Below are 18,295 nucleotides of genomic sequence, written 5' to 3' on the forward strand. Positions count from 1 at the left end.
TCAAGATATAGACCATATCCAGAACTCCAGCAGGCTCTCTCATACCTATTTTGTTAATTCTACCCTAAAATATTCAGATCTGTATCACTGTGAATCAAGTTTTCTGCTTTGGAACTTTACATAAATACAATTATGCAATATATACTCTTTCTTCTTTCACTCAATATTATGTCTTTCGATTCATCCATGTTGCATGTAGCATTGTTACATTCTTTTTCATTGTTATGCAATATTTTATAGTATGAATATACTGTGAAAATTAGTTTTGTAAAAATTTTCTTATAATTCATCTGGCCTTGAAAATGCTCTAAAGAAATCAAGACCAACCTCACATTTCTCTTATTGTGGTGACTTTGTTTTCTTTCCTGGATATGTGAAGAAATTTTATAATTATCATTAAGTTAAGGACAATTTAATCAAGATCTGTTTTCTCTTCTTTTTTTTTTGAGACAGAGTCTCACTCTGTTGCCCAGGCTGGAGTGCAGTGGCATAATCTCCGCTCACTGCAAACTCCGCCTCCTGGGTTCAAGCCATTCTCCTGACTCAGCCTCCCAAGTGCCTGGGACTACAGGCACCCACCACCACACCCAGCTAATTTTTTGTATTTTTAGTAGAGATGGGGTTTCACTGTGTTAGCTAGAATGGTCTCGATCTCCTGACCTCGTGATCAGCCCGCCTCAGCCTCCCAAAGTGCTGGGATTACAGGTGTGAGCCACCGCGCCGGGCAAGATCTGTTTTCTTTAACAGTTTTAGCTGGAGCCTGATTGTTTCACATTGATCCATAGAGCTGGTTCCTTTATCTTTCTTATTTCAAGGATTTTAAAAATTATTAAAAATTACATGTTTTACAGTGTTTTAATGTGTATATTATTCTCTTCTACGTCAGGCTTTTGGATCATCCTTATACTGAATCTTTTCTGTTTTTGACTCTCAACTAAATATATCGTATTTTCAACAATTGTGTTAGCCTTGTTCTGTTTCTCCTCCTTTGTTTTTTTTTGATTTACTATGAAAATATCAAGCTTTTCTTTTGGGCCAGAAATTAAAATATTATCTATAACATTATCTATGTCTAATCTACTTATTTCTTTTTCTAATTTATTTATTATCTGGGTAATGGTATTGTTTTGGCTCGTTTCCTTATTTATTATACTCTTTCATATCATTCTTTTTAAAATTTAAATCAACTTGTCTTTGAATTCTAGTTTTATTTAATCTATGATTTTTTATACTATGAAGGACTTTCATAGAGTTTTTCTCTGGTATAAGCAAATTAATATATTGCCTAGTGAGCATATTAAAATTTTTGAGAAATAATAATTTAACCTGCTGATAGCATTGCAAATATAAGAAAATATTTTTTCTTTTTCCAGGAAATACAAAAGATATAATAATGATATATGAAGAAGATGCTGAGGAATGGGCTCTGTACTTGACAGAAGTATTTTTACATGTTGTGAAAAGGGAAGCCATCCTGTTATATCGCTTGGAGAATTTCTCTTTTCGGCATTTGGAGTTGCTGAACTTAACGTCTTACAAATGTAAACTTTTGATATTATCAAATAGCCTGCTTAGAGACCTAACTCCAAAGAAATGTCAGTTTCTGGAAAAGATACTTCATTCACCAAAAAGTGTAGTTACTTTGCTTTGTGGAGTGAAGAGTTCAGATCAGCTCTATGAATTACTAAATATCTCTCAAAGCAGATGGGAGATCTCAACTGAACAGGAACCTGAAGACTACATCTCTGTAATCCAGAGTATCATATTCAAAGGTAGTGTTGCCAAACCTTGTTTGTTTTATTTTTATTTGTTTTTTTTTTTTTGTAATTAAAGAATTGCAAGTTGTTTTAGAACCAATAACTGGTGTCAGGATAGGAATAAGAAAAATGAGAGCTGATTTTATTCAACAGTATGTTGTACTGTCCACAAAATACATTAAGTTTCTTAATTTTTAGCTCTATTCCAATCAAGGCTTATTCCTTGTTCTAAACATGGCTTATAAATATATTCTTTAGGGCAGCCTGGATGAGATCATGGCAGAACAAGTATGGTATGCTCAAGTCATATGACAGTTTGGTTCTGGAAGCTGGTTTCTTATGTAACTGGTGAGGCATGAGTTAATATACTCTAGTGGTGTTACCAGTCAGTAGCAGTTCAAGGTTTGAAGGTCTGGGTTACAATTACAGAGCTTTTAAAATTTTAAGCATGTAACCTTTAGATAAAAGAAAATACCAGGTCCCATTAATTAATTAATTACATTTCCATGTAATAATAAAAATGCTGCAGCTTACAATGTTAAAGCTTCTCCCTTCCACAGTTTTATTCTGCTAGGTGTGAAAGGGGTGCTGTGGTCAGCTGCTTCCCTGGTTTCCTTAGTCTGCCCTTTGCTCTCAACTCCCAGTCTTCTAACTATGGTTTCATGGCTTAAAGGGAAGGAGTGAAGCTATCATTTTATCTTGGCCACACCAGATTAAAAGTTGGCTATTTTTTTTGGAGCAAATTTCTGAGTTTTGGGAAATTCCTTATTCGCTGGGAATGTCTCTCTTGCAGTTTCTTAATAAGTCAAATAGTCCCTCTTCTCTAAGATCATAGCTGTGGTTGTCTAATGCATATAGATTCTTACTGTTGAGTTCTATGGCTCCTTCATGTGTCTCTCATGATGAAAATGGCACTGAGATACCTCCTGGCTGGGTGTTTCTCCTACCTTGTCCACATCTATCTGAAGATAAACCTTCCTTTATCTTCATTTATCTTTTTCCGGACAAACTCTGGGCATACAAGCCATTCCCAGAGTAGCTATCACCATCCTGCCCTCAGAGCAGCAGTACAGCCACAGTCTCTTGCCTTTAGTAATTTCCAAACCTGGATCCAGCATAAGTGTTGGAGTTCTGTAAATCCAGGGAACCTATATCAACCCCAAATGGTTCGCTGGAAGCTTTTCTCACTATACTTCTTCCCTGGTGGAAAACAACTTTCTTCTTACCAAAATTCCTTCTTATTTTCCAGTATTGTAACCTCTTCAAATTCAATGGTTTTTTTGTTTGTTTTGTTTTGTTTTGAGACAGAGTCTCGCTCTGTCATCCAGGGTGGAGTGCAGTGGCATGAACTTGGTTCATGGCAACCTCTGCCTCCCAGGCTAAAGCAATTCTCGTGCCTCAGCCTCCTGAGTAGCTGATATTACAGACACGCACCACCATGCCTGGCTAATTTTTGTATTTTTAGAGGAGATGAGGTTTTACCATGTTGGCCAGGCTGGTCTCAAACTCCTAACCTCAAGTGATCAGCCCACCTTGGCCTCCTAAAGTGTTGGGATTACAGGTGTGATTAAAGCATTGTCTTAGTTGTCTATTGTTGCATAACAAGTTTCTCTAAATTTTAGCAACTTATACATAATGGTTATATCAGTTTCTATGATTCAGGAATCTAGAGGGGTTTAGCTGGGAGGTTCTGGAGCAGGATTTGTCATGAGGATGCAGTCAAGCTGTCCAGAGCTAAGATCCTCTGAAGCCTCCACTAAGTGAAGATCTGCTAACAGGGCTTACATTGTTGACAGTTTCCTTTGTTATTGTGATTTTAATAATCCCTTGGTTGGCTGAAGGTCACTTCTAATCATTCCTGAGGAAGGTGCCTTGGAAGCAATGTTTCTGAATTGCTGAATGTTTAAGAGTTTGTCTCTTGTCTTACACTGAAGGTAGAGTTTGTCTGAGGACAGTATTGCTCTTGCTCTTCTGTCTCTAGCACTGCAGAATTTACAGAATTTTTATTTGCCTAGCTGACTAAAGGATTCTTCATTTATAGTTGAAGTTTAGTGACTTTACTAGAATATTTTAGTGCTGACTATTCTGGATTATTTTTCCCAGGGACATGCTTTCTTATTTTTGTTTGTATCTTTTTCCCAAAATGTAGAGTCAAGTCTTCTTTTATTTCATGAAGAATTTCTTAACTTATATCTAAGTTTACGGTTTATTTTTCAGGGACTCCTTTTTTATGTATTTTGGATTTCTTTAGTCTGCACTGCACTCTACAATTTCTCTCTAATCCCTTTGAGTCTATTAATATCTAATTAACTTAGTTTGCATTTTCACTTTAACTTTTGCTACCATTTTATACTTTCATGAGTTTCTCTTTCTCTGTATTACTTCCAATCTCTTTCGTTTTCATAGTACTTTTACTTTTTCTCATTGTACCTTTTGGTTGAGCACTTATAACTTAAAATTCATCTCTTGTTCTTAATTCACTCACCTCTCTCTAACTTCTTGCATATCTGCACTATATAATTGCTTTCAAAAGGTGATTTCTATTCATTACATTTTAAAAATTCACGGTGAAATGTTTGGTTACAATTTTCAACTTTGTTTATGGTAACGTGTTTAGTTTTTGCTCCCCATCTCCATTGGTTTTCTCCTTTCCTCTTTTCCTCCCTCCCTCCCTTCCTTCTTTGCTTTCTTTTTCCCTCCCTTCCTCCCTTCCTTCCCTCCCTCTCTCCTTCCCTTTCTCACTTTTTCTCTTTTAGTATCTTTATATAGATTCTATGCTTGTTCAGGTTTCTTTCTTTTTTTTTTGAGACGGAGTTTTGCTCTTGTTGCCCAGGCTGGAGTGCAATGGCACAATCTCAGCTCACTGCAACCTCCACCTCCCAGGTTCAAGCAATTCTCCTGCCTCAGCCTCCTGAGTAGCTGGGATTACAGGTGTGTGCCACCATACCCGGCTAATTTTGTATTTTTAGTAGAGATTCGGTTTCTCCATGTTGGTCTGGCTGGTCTTGAACTCCCGACCTCAGGTGACCCACCCACCTCAACCGCCCAAAGTGCGGGGACTACAGGCGTGAGCCACTGCACCTGGCCTCAAGTTTTCTTATGTGTCACTGAGAAAAGTGAGTTTTTTTTGGTCCAGCCAATGGAGATAGACAGAGTGGGTTTTGTTGTTTGTTCTGTTTTGTTATTGTTGTTGTTATTTTACAATAAAAGACTGTACTTCTCTGCTTCCACAGATGTAGACTGCTTTCTGTAATATGATTTTTCTGTATAGCTCTTAATTTAGCCTCACTTTGTCTGCTTTTTAGAACCAAACTGCTTCCATAGATGCTTCTCCCTCAAATTGTTGCCTCATATCTACAAGGTACCCTTAGCCTTATAGGAAGTAAGTTTGCCGGCTCTTTTTTAAAATCTGCAGCTTCTGGACTGTTTCTTCAAAGTGTCTTTTCTCTGTTTCCTCCTGTACACCCTCATGCTGTATCATCACTGTTTTAGGAAACAGTTCATTGAATTTGGGTCTAGGATTTCACTGTTTCCTATTTCCTCTAAGTAGGACATTTGCATAATATTTCCTCATTGTCTATGTGTTGGGATGATTTCCAAGAATAAAAAGGGGAAATATTCACAGTACACCATAATGTTCAAACTGGAAGTTTTCAAGTTTCTTATGATCTCTTTTTCTCTCTCTCTTTTTAGTATTCCTCAAGTATATTAAACTTTTTTGACTGAAAAGAAAAAAGTGTTACAATAGGAAAATTATTTTTTTAAATCACAGTAAAGCACAAGTAAGTTTATGCTACTCTTCTCCCTGAAGATTGTTAGTAAAATTTTAGATGGCTCTCCACACCCATAATTTCTATTTATTCAAAGAACTCATGTTGTTTTGGCCACTTGAGCTATAATGTCACTATTATGTAAAAATATTTGATATATACCTTTTTGTTGTTTCAGTTGTTTTGTTTTATGATGAGTATTTTTAGGTGGATATGAAAGTGGTATTCTGCTATGTCTTCAAATTATATTTCTATTCATGCTCGGTAAGAGGAAAAACTCACACCTTATAGACAACACAGCACTATTTTGGAGACACTATTATCTCTCATCTGCCCACATTGATTTTGGACTCTGATTTCTTAGAGTAACTTAGATGTGCCAATTGGAAAATATAACCATCTTATTTGGAAAAGGGTGTTCAAATATAGTGCATTTTTGTCTGAGGTACAAGAATGCAACCAGAAGCATATAGTTGTATTTCCAAGTCTACAAATGGTAGCAATCTCCAAACTGCATAAAATAACTTTTATATGTGGGTTGTGTCCTTTGAAGAAATTGGTTCTATTTGCTGTAGTCTATGCAGTGATAAATTTGCTTAAGTGCTCTGCTAAATTATTTTATGTTTATGTTGCCAATCATGTTGAAGACATAAAGTCTTGTATTTAAATTGAGATCAGTACAAAAAAAAATGGGTGAAATAGGACAAAGAATGTGGAATTCAGATTTTACTGTCCCTTTTCTATTTTTCCTCATTCCATAAAGAAATTATACAAAGAATAAGGGAAACTTATTATTCAGAAACAGGCTATGAAAAAGAGAATGATAACAATGCCAGGAAAGTCATGGAAATAATTAAATGTTCTAATATATTAATATAACACAAAGAAAAATCAGAGGAAATTTTAAGAAAGAGAAAGCTATTTTATAATTAATCAAGGCTCCAGAGAAAAGTTTTTAACATTAAAATTTTTTTAAAAGACACAGTAATTTATATTTTCTCCTAGTATTTTATTTCCTTTAAAGGAATTAAGAAAACCAAATTTCCTGTCTTCTTAATTCCCAAATTGGGAGTAACACAAATCCAGCTGTATTTACTCTTTTCTGTGTGTTTTATAATCGTTTGTATGACATTCCTTCCTTTTTCTGTCTTCTATTTGTTAGTTTTGGTGTTTTACCTAACTTGCTTTTCTAGTCTTTCCACATTTATAGGCTTCATACAGCATTGTTTATATGTGATATAAATAAGCTGATCTGAAATTGTTATAAAATCAACTGCCGTTTCTGAATATCACCAACATGTACTTGAATCCTTCTGGTTTTCAGGATCCTGGCACCTCTCCAAGGCCTCTGTCCTCCCTTGTTCTTTGTTCTCAACTCTGCCCCCGTCACTTCTGGACCAGGCATGCTGGTTTGCTTGCAACCCCTGAGCTACCCTTTACCAACAGCTCTCTCCATGGCTTATTTTCTCATATTTTCTTCATTGTCCATTAACAGGAAAAACTTCTCTTTCTTGAAGAACCTTAACATTTCCATTTTGTTTTTCTGTTACCAAACCAAGGATTTCAAATTTTTAGCTTTATTTTACACTTTTTAAAAGAAGGACAAAATGAATAGTAATGTAACAGTAGAATTATTGGAAAGGCAAAACAAAACAAACAACAGAACAGAAACAAACTATGCAGAAGCATTGTTTTCCTTTCTTTCTGTCTGTGCTGTGTATTGCTTAAGAACTCTGACTCACTGGACCTTCCTAGAACTAGTCAGTGAGATGTTGTAGCCTTTCAAATGAAGTCCTTCCTTTTTGCATGGTCTTTCAGCTCTTTGAAGGTATGGCTCCAGCATGGGTGTCCAGGCCATTTCTGTCACCAGCATTAGTGTAGACATACTGTATACTAGGGTAATTGTATCATTCACCATTGAACAAACACAGCCTTTCCATTTTTGCGTTCACTCCATTGTTTTTTCACTTTTCTCTTCATCTGGAGTATCCTTCCACATATTTTCAGTTGAAATCTCAACCATCCTTCAAAGTCAGTTGACAAGTTGCTTTATTAATAAATTCATGTCATATCGTTTCTGCTTGAAAAATATTTTCCTCATCTAATTCTATTAATTTTGATTATTGCATACTTATGACTCTCGTTACATTCTATATTCTCCGTAACTATTTTTTTAACCATTTCTTTTCTTCTCCTTATTGCTGTTTTACAAATGGAATGTTGTTAACTTTCTTTTATGCCTGGCGCGGTGGCTCACGCCTGTAATCCAAGCACTTTGGGAGGCTGAGGCAGGCAGATCACTTGAGGTCAGGAGTCGAGACCAGGCTGGCCAACATGGTGAAACCCAGTCTCTACTGAAAATACAAAAATTAGCTGGGCATGGTGGTGCACACCTGTAATCCCAGTTACTCAGGAGGCTGAGGTAGGTGAATCACTTAAACCTGGGAGGCAGAGGCTGCCGTGAGCCCAGATGGTGCCACTGCACTCCAACCTGGGCGACAGAGCGAGACTCTGTCTCAAACAAAACAAACAGAAACAAAAACAAAAAAATTTCATTTTAAAAATATTTCAGCATTCTCAACCTCAAAAAAACCCCACAAACCTAGAAAGGACAAATTGTGTTTTTAAGTACAGATTTATAAATGTTTCTGGTACAGTTTGGTTTTTCTCTTTATTGAAACCTCTTGATGAAAGGTTTACTGTGGGATTCTTGTCAAGAATACATAACCTCAATCTAATCATGAGGAAATATCAGACAAATCAAACTGGGAGATTTTTGTGGAATCAAGGAAGATTCTACAAAATAATTGCTCTGTACTCTTCAACAGTATTAAAATCAAGAGGTTAAAAGAAAGGGTGAATTATTATTTCACAATAAACTAATCCAAAGCCATCGGCTCGGCACTATCCCAGAGCTTTCCCCATCTTCTACATTCAATTAATTTCTGTGGCTTAGAACTGTATCTCCGTGCCCATTTCTCATCCATTGGCCTAGATCTTCATCTTCCATTTCACAGTCTACTACTAGAACCTCCCAGCTGGTGGCCTTTTTCCTCCCAATTTTTCTAAAACACATACTAAATTATGGGGCTCTACGTCACCTATGGAATAAAGTCAAAATACCTTAAAGTAGCAGGCAAGGCCTCTCATAATCAAATATTATGTACAATTTTTTTTAAATTAGCAGGATTTAAAACACTTACTTTGATTGTTCACAAATTTAGACAATAATCAATTCTATCAGTAAATGTGTAATGATAATTTAGTATATTTAGGACTAAGACCGGTACAACTGTTTTTGTGCTTCTAGAATTTATTAAGGTTTGAAAAATTGTTAGCTGCCAACTTTAAGATTCAGGGATTGAATACTGACTTTTTTTCTTTCTCTAAGAAACTAATAGTTCATTATAACTTCAGAATTCCAATTAAAGTGATGGATTGTTTGAAAAGAATATTACTCAAAAAGTCTGAATTATAAATTGAGTTCAGGTATCTGATACTTTACACAAGGGTTTTATTTTGTCCCAAAGAGTTTCTCTGGCTTGCATGATTTAATAATGTCACTCAAATTATTTCTGAGACTGTAAGGACTAAGGTTTCAAGGATTTTTCCCTCAATGTATGGTACATATTCAATTTCTCTTTAAAGAAGCTTTTTATATATTAATCAATTTATCTTTTTAAATTCTATTTTTAATTCTTTCATTTTGTTTTTTAAAATATCATGTTTGGTCATTCTCATGTATATTGAAGAATGAAACTCAAACAACAAAATGGTTAGTAAACATTTATTAGTCCTAGGCAGCAGACTGTAATTATGATTTATTTATTGCTAATAAAATAAGATAAAGACATTTGATCAGGATATTTTTAGCTGTGTTTGTAAAAGCATTCTGTATACGACTCTGGATAGCTTTTCTCCTCTCCCTCTCCCTCTCCCTCTCCCCCTTCTCTCTCCCCCTTTCCCTCTTCTCTCTCCCTCTCCCTCCCCTCTCTCTTCTCTTTCTCTTCTTTTTTGAGACAGGGTCTTGCTCTGTCACCCAGGCTGGAGTGCAGTGGTGGGACCTGGGCTCACTGCAACCTCCACCTCCAGAGTTCAAATGATTCTTGTGCCTCAGCCTCCTGAGTAGCTGGGATTACAGGTGTGTGCTACGCCCGGCTAATTCTTTTGGATTTTTAGTAGACACGGGGTTTCACCATGTTGCACAGACTGGTTTTGAACTCCTGGCTTCAAGTGATCCACCCACCTCGGCCTTCCAAAGTGGTGGGATTACAGGCATGAACCATCATGCCCAGCCTCTGGGTAGCTTTTAAACATATTCTTATTATGAATGTATACACCCTATTTCTGAGTTCTACTGCCTCCTTTTTTGAATCAAAAACTAAGGTACACTGTTTTATTACTCAGGATCATTGTGTTATTAACAACTTAGAAGTTAGCTTATATTATTCTTTGCTTTCCAAAAATCTTACCTTTCTTTAGATGATTTCCTCTTTATTTTTGCTAAAAGCTGATTTTTTTTTAACATTTCAATTCCACATGGGAAATGATCATCTGCTGCATAAACAGCATGATTCCAAGGCTTTTCTGAAAATTAACTCTAGTGTTAAAGGGCAGAAACTATGTACAGAGCCCAGGAAAAAACAAAATTTTACTGTCTCTTATTATAAAATATCTAGTTCTGAAATCTATGCCAAGACAGTTGGTATCCTGAAGTCTACCTGTAATCCAAGGTCCAAAGAAATCTACCCTTATGTGATGATTGAGCCATTGGAGGGAGATCATACCTTTGAGCTGTGTTTGACTTGAACATGCTCTCCCTTAGCTGGTGACCAGCCACTTGGTAACCTCAGTAATTATTTTTCAAGACAGACACTTTAAACTTTATTTTCTTAACATCAGTAACATTTTCTTGTTCACACGTATTTATGCTGGAAGTTAAGGTATAGGATCATGTGAGATTAGTTAACAGCTTGATTCAAGATGATGTATCTGACACTGTTTTGCCATATTTTTATATTTCACACAGGAATAGAGTGAGAAACTTATATATTTTAACTTTATTCTTGACTGAGAAACACAATAGGTAGTTTAAACTAAATTAAAAAATAAAGATTTTAAAAGTCAGACATTTTATGATATCACCAAATGAGAATTCACTTACATTCATTTATTGAGGATATGTATTTTTAACCTTGAGTTTTCATGAGTGATTTCAAATTACTTTTACTAGTGTCTTAATATTCTCATATGTTGAGAGAGCTGAAATTTTTAGTATCCCATTTTATAAGTTGCATAATAGAAGGGTTGAAATTACATGGTTTTTTTCAGGAACTATATTCATTAAATGTTTATGGTTGTACTCTTTACTAGGCAATTATGATTTCCTTTTGACAGTAAGAGAAATATTAAGATATGTGGAAATCATCACAAGTGCTCCTCTAAAGCTCATCTCATACTTGTATTTTTTTGACTGTTAGTAGCATCATAATGCTACAAAATGTATTTCTAGGGAGGTAAGTAATGCTCGTCAATCCATTTAATAGCTTCCCATATGAGGAAGCTTACTCTTATTCAACATTACTTTTTATTCAAGTACTTTTGCAGGAATTCAATTTGACTAACATTATGGAAATTGAGAACCTATATTTTTCAGCCCCGTTATTATGCTACCCTATCCCCTAATAAATGCTCTATCATCCCTTCAATTCTTAAGCAGGGAGGATTTGTCTGAATCATTGCTTCATTATTCACAATGACCAGCACCATATACAATAATAATTTTTTTATTCAACTGGCCAAATTCTTTACAACTCTTGAACTTCTTTTGGAATATGAGAAAGTGTGATTTATATCTAATGTGTAATTGTTTCTTAGGCTTTCATAGCTTTTTAGAAACTAAGACAAAGGAGATATACAATTGCTTTTTTTCCATATTCTTTCCAAGATAGCTACTATATAATTTCAAATATTTAATTTTTTTTTTTTTTTTTTTTTTTTTTTTTTTTTTTTTTTTTTTTTTTTTGAGACAGAGTCTCGCTCTGTCGCCCAGGCTGGAGTGCAGTGGCGGGATCTCGGCTCACTGCAAGCTCCGCCTCCCGGGTTCACGCCATTCTCCTGCCTCAGCCTCCCAAGTAGCTGGGACTACAGGCGCCCGCCACTACGCCCGGCTAATTTTTTGTATTTTTAGTAGAGACGGGGTTTCACCGTTTTAGCCGGGATGGTCTCGATCTCCTGACCTCGTGATCCGCCCGCCTCGGCCTCCCGAAGTGCTGGCATCACAGGCGTGAGCCACCGCGCCCGGCCAAATATTTAATTTTATAGTGTGTTTAATCTCAATAAATATATGATGCCTGACTTTGAATTATGGACAATAATTTTTAAATTTAAAGAAAAAAATATATTTTTGTTGGGAACAGGCCCCCCAAAATCTGGCCATAAACTTGCGCCAAAACTGGCCATAAACAAAATCTCTGAAGCACTGTGACTTGTTTGTGATGACCGTGACACACATGCTGAAGGTTGTGTGTTTACCAGAATGAGGGTAAGAAGCACCTGGCCCACTCAGGGCGGAAAACCACTTAAAGGCATTCTTGTGCCTTAAGGACATGCTCCTGCTGCAGATAACTAGCCTAAGCCCATCCCTTTATTTCAGCCCATCCCTTTGTTTCCCATAAGGAATACTTTTAGTTAATCTATAATCTATAGAAACAATGCTCATCACTGGCTTGCTGTTAATAAATACATGGGTAAATCTCTGTTCGAGGCTCTCAGCTCTGAAGGCTGTGAGACCCCTGATTTCCCACTTCACACCTCTGTATTTCTGTGTGTGTGTCTTGAAATCCTCTAGCACCTCTAGGTTAGGGTCTCCCCCACCGAGCTGGTCTCAGCATATTTTGAGTGAGGGTCTCACTCTAGAATGCAGTGGTGCGATCTCAGCTCACTCTAAATTCTACCTTGCAGGTTCAACCAATTATACCTCAGCCTCCCAAGTAGCTAGGACCACAGGCATGCGCCGTCACGCCCAGCTAATTTTTTTATTTTTAGTAGAGAAAGTGTTTCACCATATTGGCCAGGCTGGTCTCAAACTCCTGGCCTACGTGATCCACCTGCCTCAACCTCCCAAAGTGCTGGGATTGCGGTCATGAGCCACCGTGCCCAGCCTAAAATTAAAACATGTATATATTTAAAAGCTTTTTATTTTTCTAATTATAAAAATAATACTCATTGTAAAAAAAAATCTGAATAGTACAGAGAACATAAAAGAAGCAGGAAGAAAATGTCACTTAGAATGACAATACCCAGAGGCAGTCACTGTTAACATTTTGGCATATTTCATTCCATATATAATTCTGATTGTGCAGAATATAAACTGTTTAAAAGTTGAGAGAATCATAATATGTTAGAGGAAAAAGCAAGGCATAAATTATAAGTATAGGACTAAACTTAAATGAATATATGAGTATCTTTTTTTAAATTAAACAAAATCTGAAATGATAGGCCAAGATTTCATATGGCCCAGAGATGATATATTGACAACTATTCCATGGGAAATGAAAATCTCACTGAAATCAACAGTGAACTCCAATGAATGATTCCAGTTTGGAATGAATAATTCAAAATAATGAAAGCATAGATTCTAATGGTAATAATCTTTTATTATTATTATTATTATTATTATACTTTAAGTTTTAGGGTACATGTGCACAATGTGCAGGTTAGTTACATATGTATACATGTGCCATGCTGGTGTGCTGCACCCACTAACTCGTCATCTAGCATTAGGTATATCTCCCAATGCTATCCCTCCCCCCTCCCCCCACCCCACAACAGTCCCCAGAGTGCAATGTTCCCCTTCCTGTGTCCATGTGTTCTCATTGTTCAATTCCCACCTATGAGTGAGAATATGCGGTGTTTGGTTTTTTGGTAATAATCTTAATTACACAGAATTGTTCAATATGTTGATGTAGGGAGGAGCAAAAATTTTATAGATAAGCTACTCACAGATGAATTATTATGAAAAATAGAATAACATAAATGAATATGAAGAATTTTCTGGTACTTCATATGAAGAAATTTAAAAAACCTTTCTTATAAATAATTAAACCAGTTATAGCATTAAAAGTGGTCTCAAATAATATCTCCTCAAACATTGTTATTTGACAGATTGTGAAATTGAAATTCTGACACCTTGCATTCTTTGTGCAAGACCTATGGTCCAGAAGTGGGGAAGAATCTGGTAGAACCCATGTTGCGTCAGAACACTGGCTTCTCCTTTCCAAAGTTCTAAGCCAAATGGCAATAGCACTTAGACAAGAGATTATATGATTTCTCTTCCATTATTTGTTCACGATTGATCAATTCCTTTATTCCTTCCATTTAAAAATTAATTTCTAACATTCATTAATAAATTCTATGAGCCAACCACCAATAAAAGAACTTTCTACACATTTTAAAGTTTAATTGTCACAAAAACATTAGGTGCAGTTACTAGTACTATTCTCATTTTTAAGTAAAAACACAAACAGAGGAGGCAACTAGAAAATAACAGAACTGGAATGTGGACCAAATACTTCTAGCATCCCCATTTCAAATAACTATACTCTTGGACAAATTTTGGTTTGACTTTGAAAAAATAATTTTTAGGCTACTTGCAGAGAACTAGATCATTTCTAATTTCTTAGATATATACGTACTCAAGTCTAATCTATGTGTTTGGGTTTTTATATTTCAGAGTCTAGGATGAAATCTGAGGTGATAATATTGTCATCTTGAAATATAAAAACCCGGGCACATGGACAGCTGAGCTAATGCTGTCACAGGTGGTGAATTTTCCCTTTCCTCATCACCTATATTTTCAGTCATGAGAGATTCTCAGCTTTTATTTGCACCTCTGCATTCTAGGTTTCACAAGAGTGTCACAATTTAACATATTTAATGTCTTAGACATCATTTCTTGATTTACACGTATAAACTTGCAATTTATTTTATTTGAATCCAATTTCAGTTATCTTCTCATGCTAAATGAGCTTTAGAAAGTTTTTCTGTCTGGAACAGTATAGTGATACTTAGAAAAATTAAAACTTTTAAAGTAAATGATTTTCTGAATTTTCTGTTGGAAACATTTTCTTTTTCATACAGAAAAATGTATTTCCTTTCATTTTAGGCTTTACATTTCAGAATTTCAAACAAAAAACAGTGTCCACTTTTTTAATGTACCATCTTCTTAGTACACCTACTTTCCCCTTTGGTCTTATTATAGTAAGGTTTAGTTTCACTTTTCCTTATCAGTATTACTTCCCTATTTTGTACTTTTTTGATAAATATTCCACTATATTAATCTTGATTCAATGACGTAAAATGGTGCCCCATAGTGCCTTCTTCAAGAGCATATTAATCATACCAAATTACTCTGCTCAAAATGCATTCAGGCACTTTCTTCATATTATCCTTTTGATCTCTGGGATGTATTTTCCCATTGTTAATTGAAACATTAGTGTTACACATTTTATCATTTTTTCCTTTATTATTATATTCAAATGTTAGGAATGCTTTCCCATAACCCTGGAACCCACTTAGATATTAGTGATGCTTTGTCCATCAACCAGAAAATTCATATTTTCTGTGTCTAGTATATTGTCTTTGCGTAATTTTCTTTTAAATATATGGCTACAGCCAGGTTTGGTGGCTCATGCCTGTAATCCCAGCACTTTGGGAGGCCGAGGTGGGTGGATCACGAGGTCAGGAGTTTGAGACCAGCCTGGCCAACAAGGTGAAACCCCATCTCTACTAAATATACAAAAAAAAAAGATTAGCTGGGCGTGCTGGCACGCACCTGTAATGCCAGCTACTTGGGAGGCTAAGGCAGGAGAATCGCTGGAATCTGGGAGGCGGAGGTTGAAGTGAGGTGATACCACACCGTTGCACTCCAGCCTGGGTGACAGGGCAAGACTCGGTCTCAAAAAAAATAAAAATAAAAATTAATAAATAAATATATGGCTACAAGAATAATTACATTCTTTTGGAATACATATATTCCCCTTTGGCTTGGCTGCTTATCCACTAAATAATGGTTTTAGCTAAATCAGTGGATTTTATTGAGCTTCTACTATGTGGCAGGCCTTTAATCCATGGAGTTGAGGTAGATGTAAAGATTATTGATTATGGACATCCAGATATCACTATCTAATGAAAGGGACAGGAAAGTAAATAATATGTAAATAATGTAATGCAGTGTGACAATAGTTCTAATGAGGTGCAGTGCATCCAAAGAGCTATTGCCAAGTGGGAGATAGGAAGGATCTTCCACTAGAAGCAACCATTGATGTGAATGTTGTAAAGTAATTAGAGGGAAAAATGGGGTTAGGCACAATAGGCGAAACAGAAGAGCCTATATGAAGGAATGAAAGATTGTGGTTTCAGGAACTGGTGAGAAGATTGGAAAGACTGCAATGGCAAACCAGGTGGGTCATGAGGGCCTTTCCTATCTCAGAACACAAGCAAGTCTGCTGACAAGGCCCACTTGCTAGAACTTCTCTTGTGTGAGGCTGAGGAAGGACAAGATGTAGGTGGATCTGCCAAAGGTCTTTTACCCTCAGTGCAAAGTATGACTTTGTGACCAAGAGCAGAGGGTTTGGAGTCAGACAGACCTGGGTTTAAGTGAAGCTTTGTGACTTATGACAATTTATTTAACTTTTTAAAAACTCAATTCTTAGTAAAATCATAATTCTTCTCAGAAGATAATGGTTGCATCCCTTGGGATGAGTGTGAGGATTAAATATGATTATGGATATAAATTTCTACATAGGGCATTTGAGACATAGTCAAAACTCAGTACTTACTAGCTTACTTTTACACCAACCCCAAACAAGCTTCTTTTAGGGCTTTATCTATCAATAGAGTGATCCTCAAGGAAAGTTTTCCTAGACCTAACTGGGAAGGGTCCTTTTTTAATTTAACATACCCTACTGAATAAATGGGGTGATAAACAAAACTTATTTCTGTCTCAAAGGTGAGTAGACTCAGTTTCTACAATTTTTTAAGCTGAGGATCGGATATACTTATATATAATATTTCTGAGAAAGTGAAAGGAAATTAAAATATTATTTAGAAGGTTGCTTTATATGGAAGCAAGCAGTTTCAAAATCATTTTACCTAGTCATATGAAAATATGAAACTAAATACTATTCCGTTCCATGATGTGATTATTATGTATTGCATGCTTGTACCAAAATAGCTCACATACCCCATAAATATATATACCTACTATGTACCAACAAAAGTTAAAAATTAAAAAATTAAAAAAGATACTACATCACCAATTTATTTATGTACATATAGCAGTCAGATATTTTAAATTTACAAGTTAAAATCCTCAGATATAGCATCCCTGAAATTTTATGAAAATATTCCTAAATATATCAGATTAATATGTTGATTAATATTCTGAAAAACATGCCAAAAAAAGCCTGCTGTCAAAATTCAAGTACTACCTCTTAGATAACTGTAAAGAATTTGAAGCTACTTGAGAGAAAACAACTGAGATATTTACCTGTCTTTTTCAAATCCATTTTAGACCAAGAAGAATCATTATTACCTATTGGTAAGGATTACACATTTGACACAATAAAAATAATCATTTTCTCTAGCAGTGAAAACCAATTGACAACATATAGCTGCCTCTGGGAATTCTTTGTAAAGTAAATCATCCTTGTGAGATATTTCAGTGAGAAACAAGAACTGATAAGCATACTGACTTACTCATAAATTGTCATTTCTATGTAAATTAGCAATCCTAACTGAAACATCAATGCAATGTCAAATAAGGTATAATCTTATGCTATGGTAAGAATTAATGCCTTAGACATTTTTACTAGAGATTTGGGCCATAGGGTTTTTGTTTTTGTTTTTGTTTTTATTATACTTTAAGTTTTAAGGTACAGGTGCACAACGTGCAGGTTTGTTACATATGTATACATGTGCCATGTTGGTGTGCTGCACCCATTAACTCGTCATTTACCATTAGGTATACCTCCTAATGCTATCCCTCCCCCCTTCCCCCACCCCACAACAGGCCCCAGTGTATGATGTTCCCTTTCCTGTGTCCATGTGTTCCTATTGTTCAATTCCCACCTATGAGTGAGAACATGTGGTGTTTGGCACACGTATGTTTATTGCCGCACTGTTCACAATAGCAAAGACTGGGAACCAACCCAAATGTCCAACAATGATAGACTGGATTAAGAAAATGTGGCACATATATACCATGGAATACTATGCAGCCATACAAAATGATGAGTTCATGTCCTTTGTAGGGACATGGATGAAGCTGGAAACCATCATTCTCAGCAAACTATTGCAAGGATATGTTGTTTTTAACAGCTCTGAAAATTTTGTGTTTTTGATTCCATCAGATAATTCCTGTGATAAATTGACTGCTGTATGCATGGATAAAACTGTGGGTTGGGAAACAGTATAGGGTAGTGTATTAGTCTGTTTTCACACTGCTATAAAGAACACTCAAGACTGGGTAATTTTTAAGACTGGGTAATTTTTAAGAAGACTGGGTAATTTTTAAGACTGGGTAATTTAAATAACTCACAGTTCTGCATGGCCAAGAAGGCCTCAGGAAACTTAAAATCATGGTGGAAGGTGAAGGGGAAGCAAGGAATATCTTACATGGCAGCAGGAGATAGAGAGGGCAGGGGAAGTGCTACAGTTTTAAACAAGCAGATCTTGTGAGAACTGACTCACTATCATGAGAACAGC

General features: G+C 35.9%; 1 protein-coding gene across 3 annotated transcripts in view; it reads left to right on the plus strand.

Moving 5' to 3' along the window:
• Nucleotides 1-18,295, plus strand: part of BANK1 (B cell scaffold protein with ankyrin repeats 1) — a 284,083-nt gene that overhangs the window by 37,705 nt on the left and 228,083 nt on the right. For 2 of the 3 annotated variants that reach the window (NM_017935.5, NM_001083907.3), the window contains exon 2: nt 1,374-1,772. The exons of the other annotated variant lie outside the window; for it this stretch is intronic. In NM_017935.5, the coding sequence (NP_060405.5) occupies nt 1,374-1,772 (399 nt within the window). The remainder of the gene's footprint in view (nt 1-1,373; nt 1,773-18,295) is intronic. 3 annotated transcript variants of the gene reach the window in all.

Source organism: Homo sapiens, chromosome 4 (genome assembly GCF_000001405.40).
Source record: "Homo sapiens chromosome 4, GRCh38.p14 Primary Assembly".
NCBI lineage: Eukaryota > Metazoa > Chordata > Mammalia > Primates > Hominidae > Homo > Homo sapiens.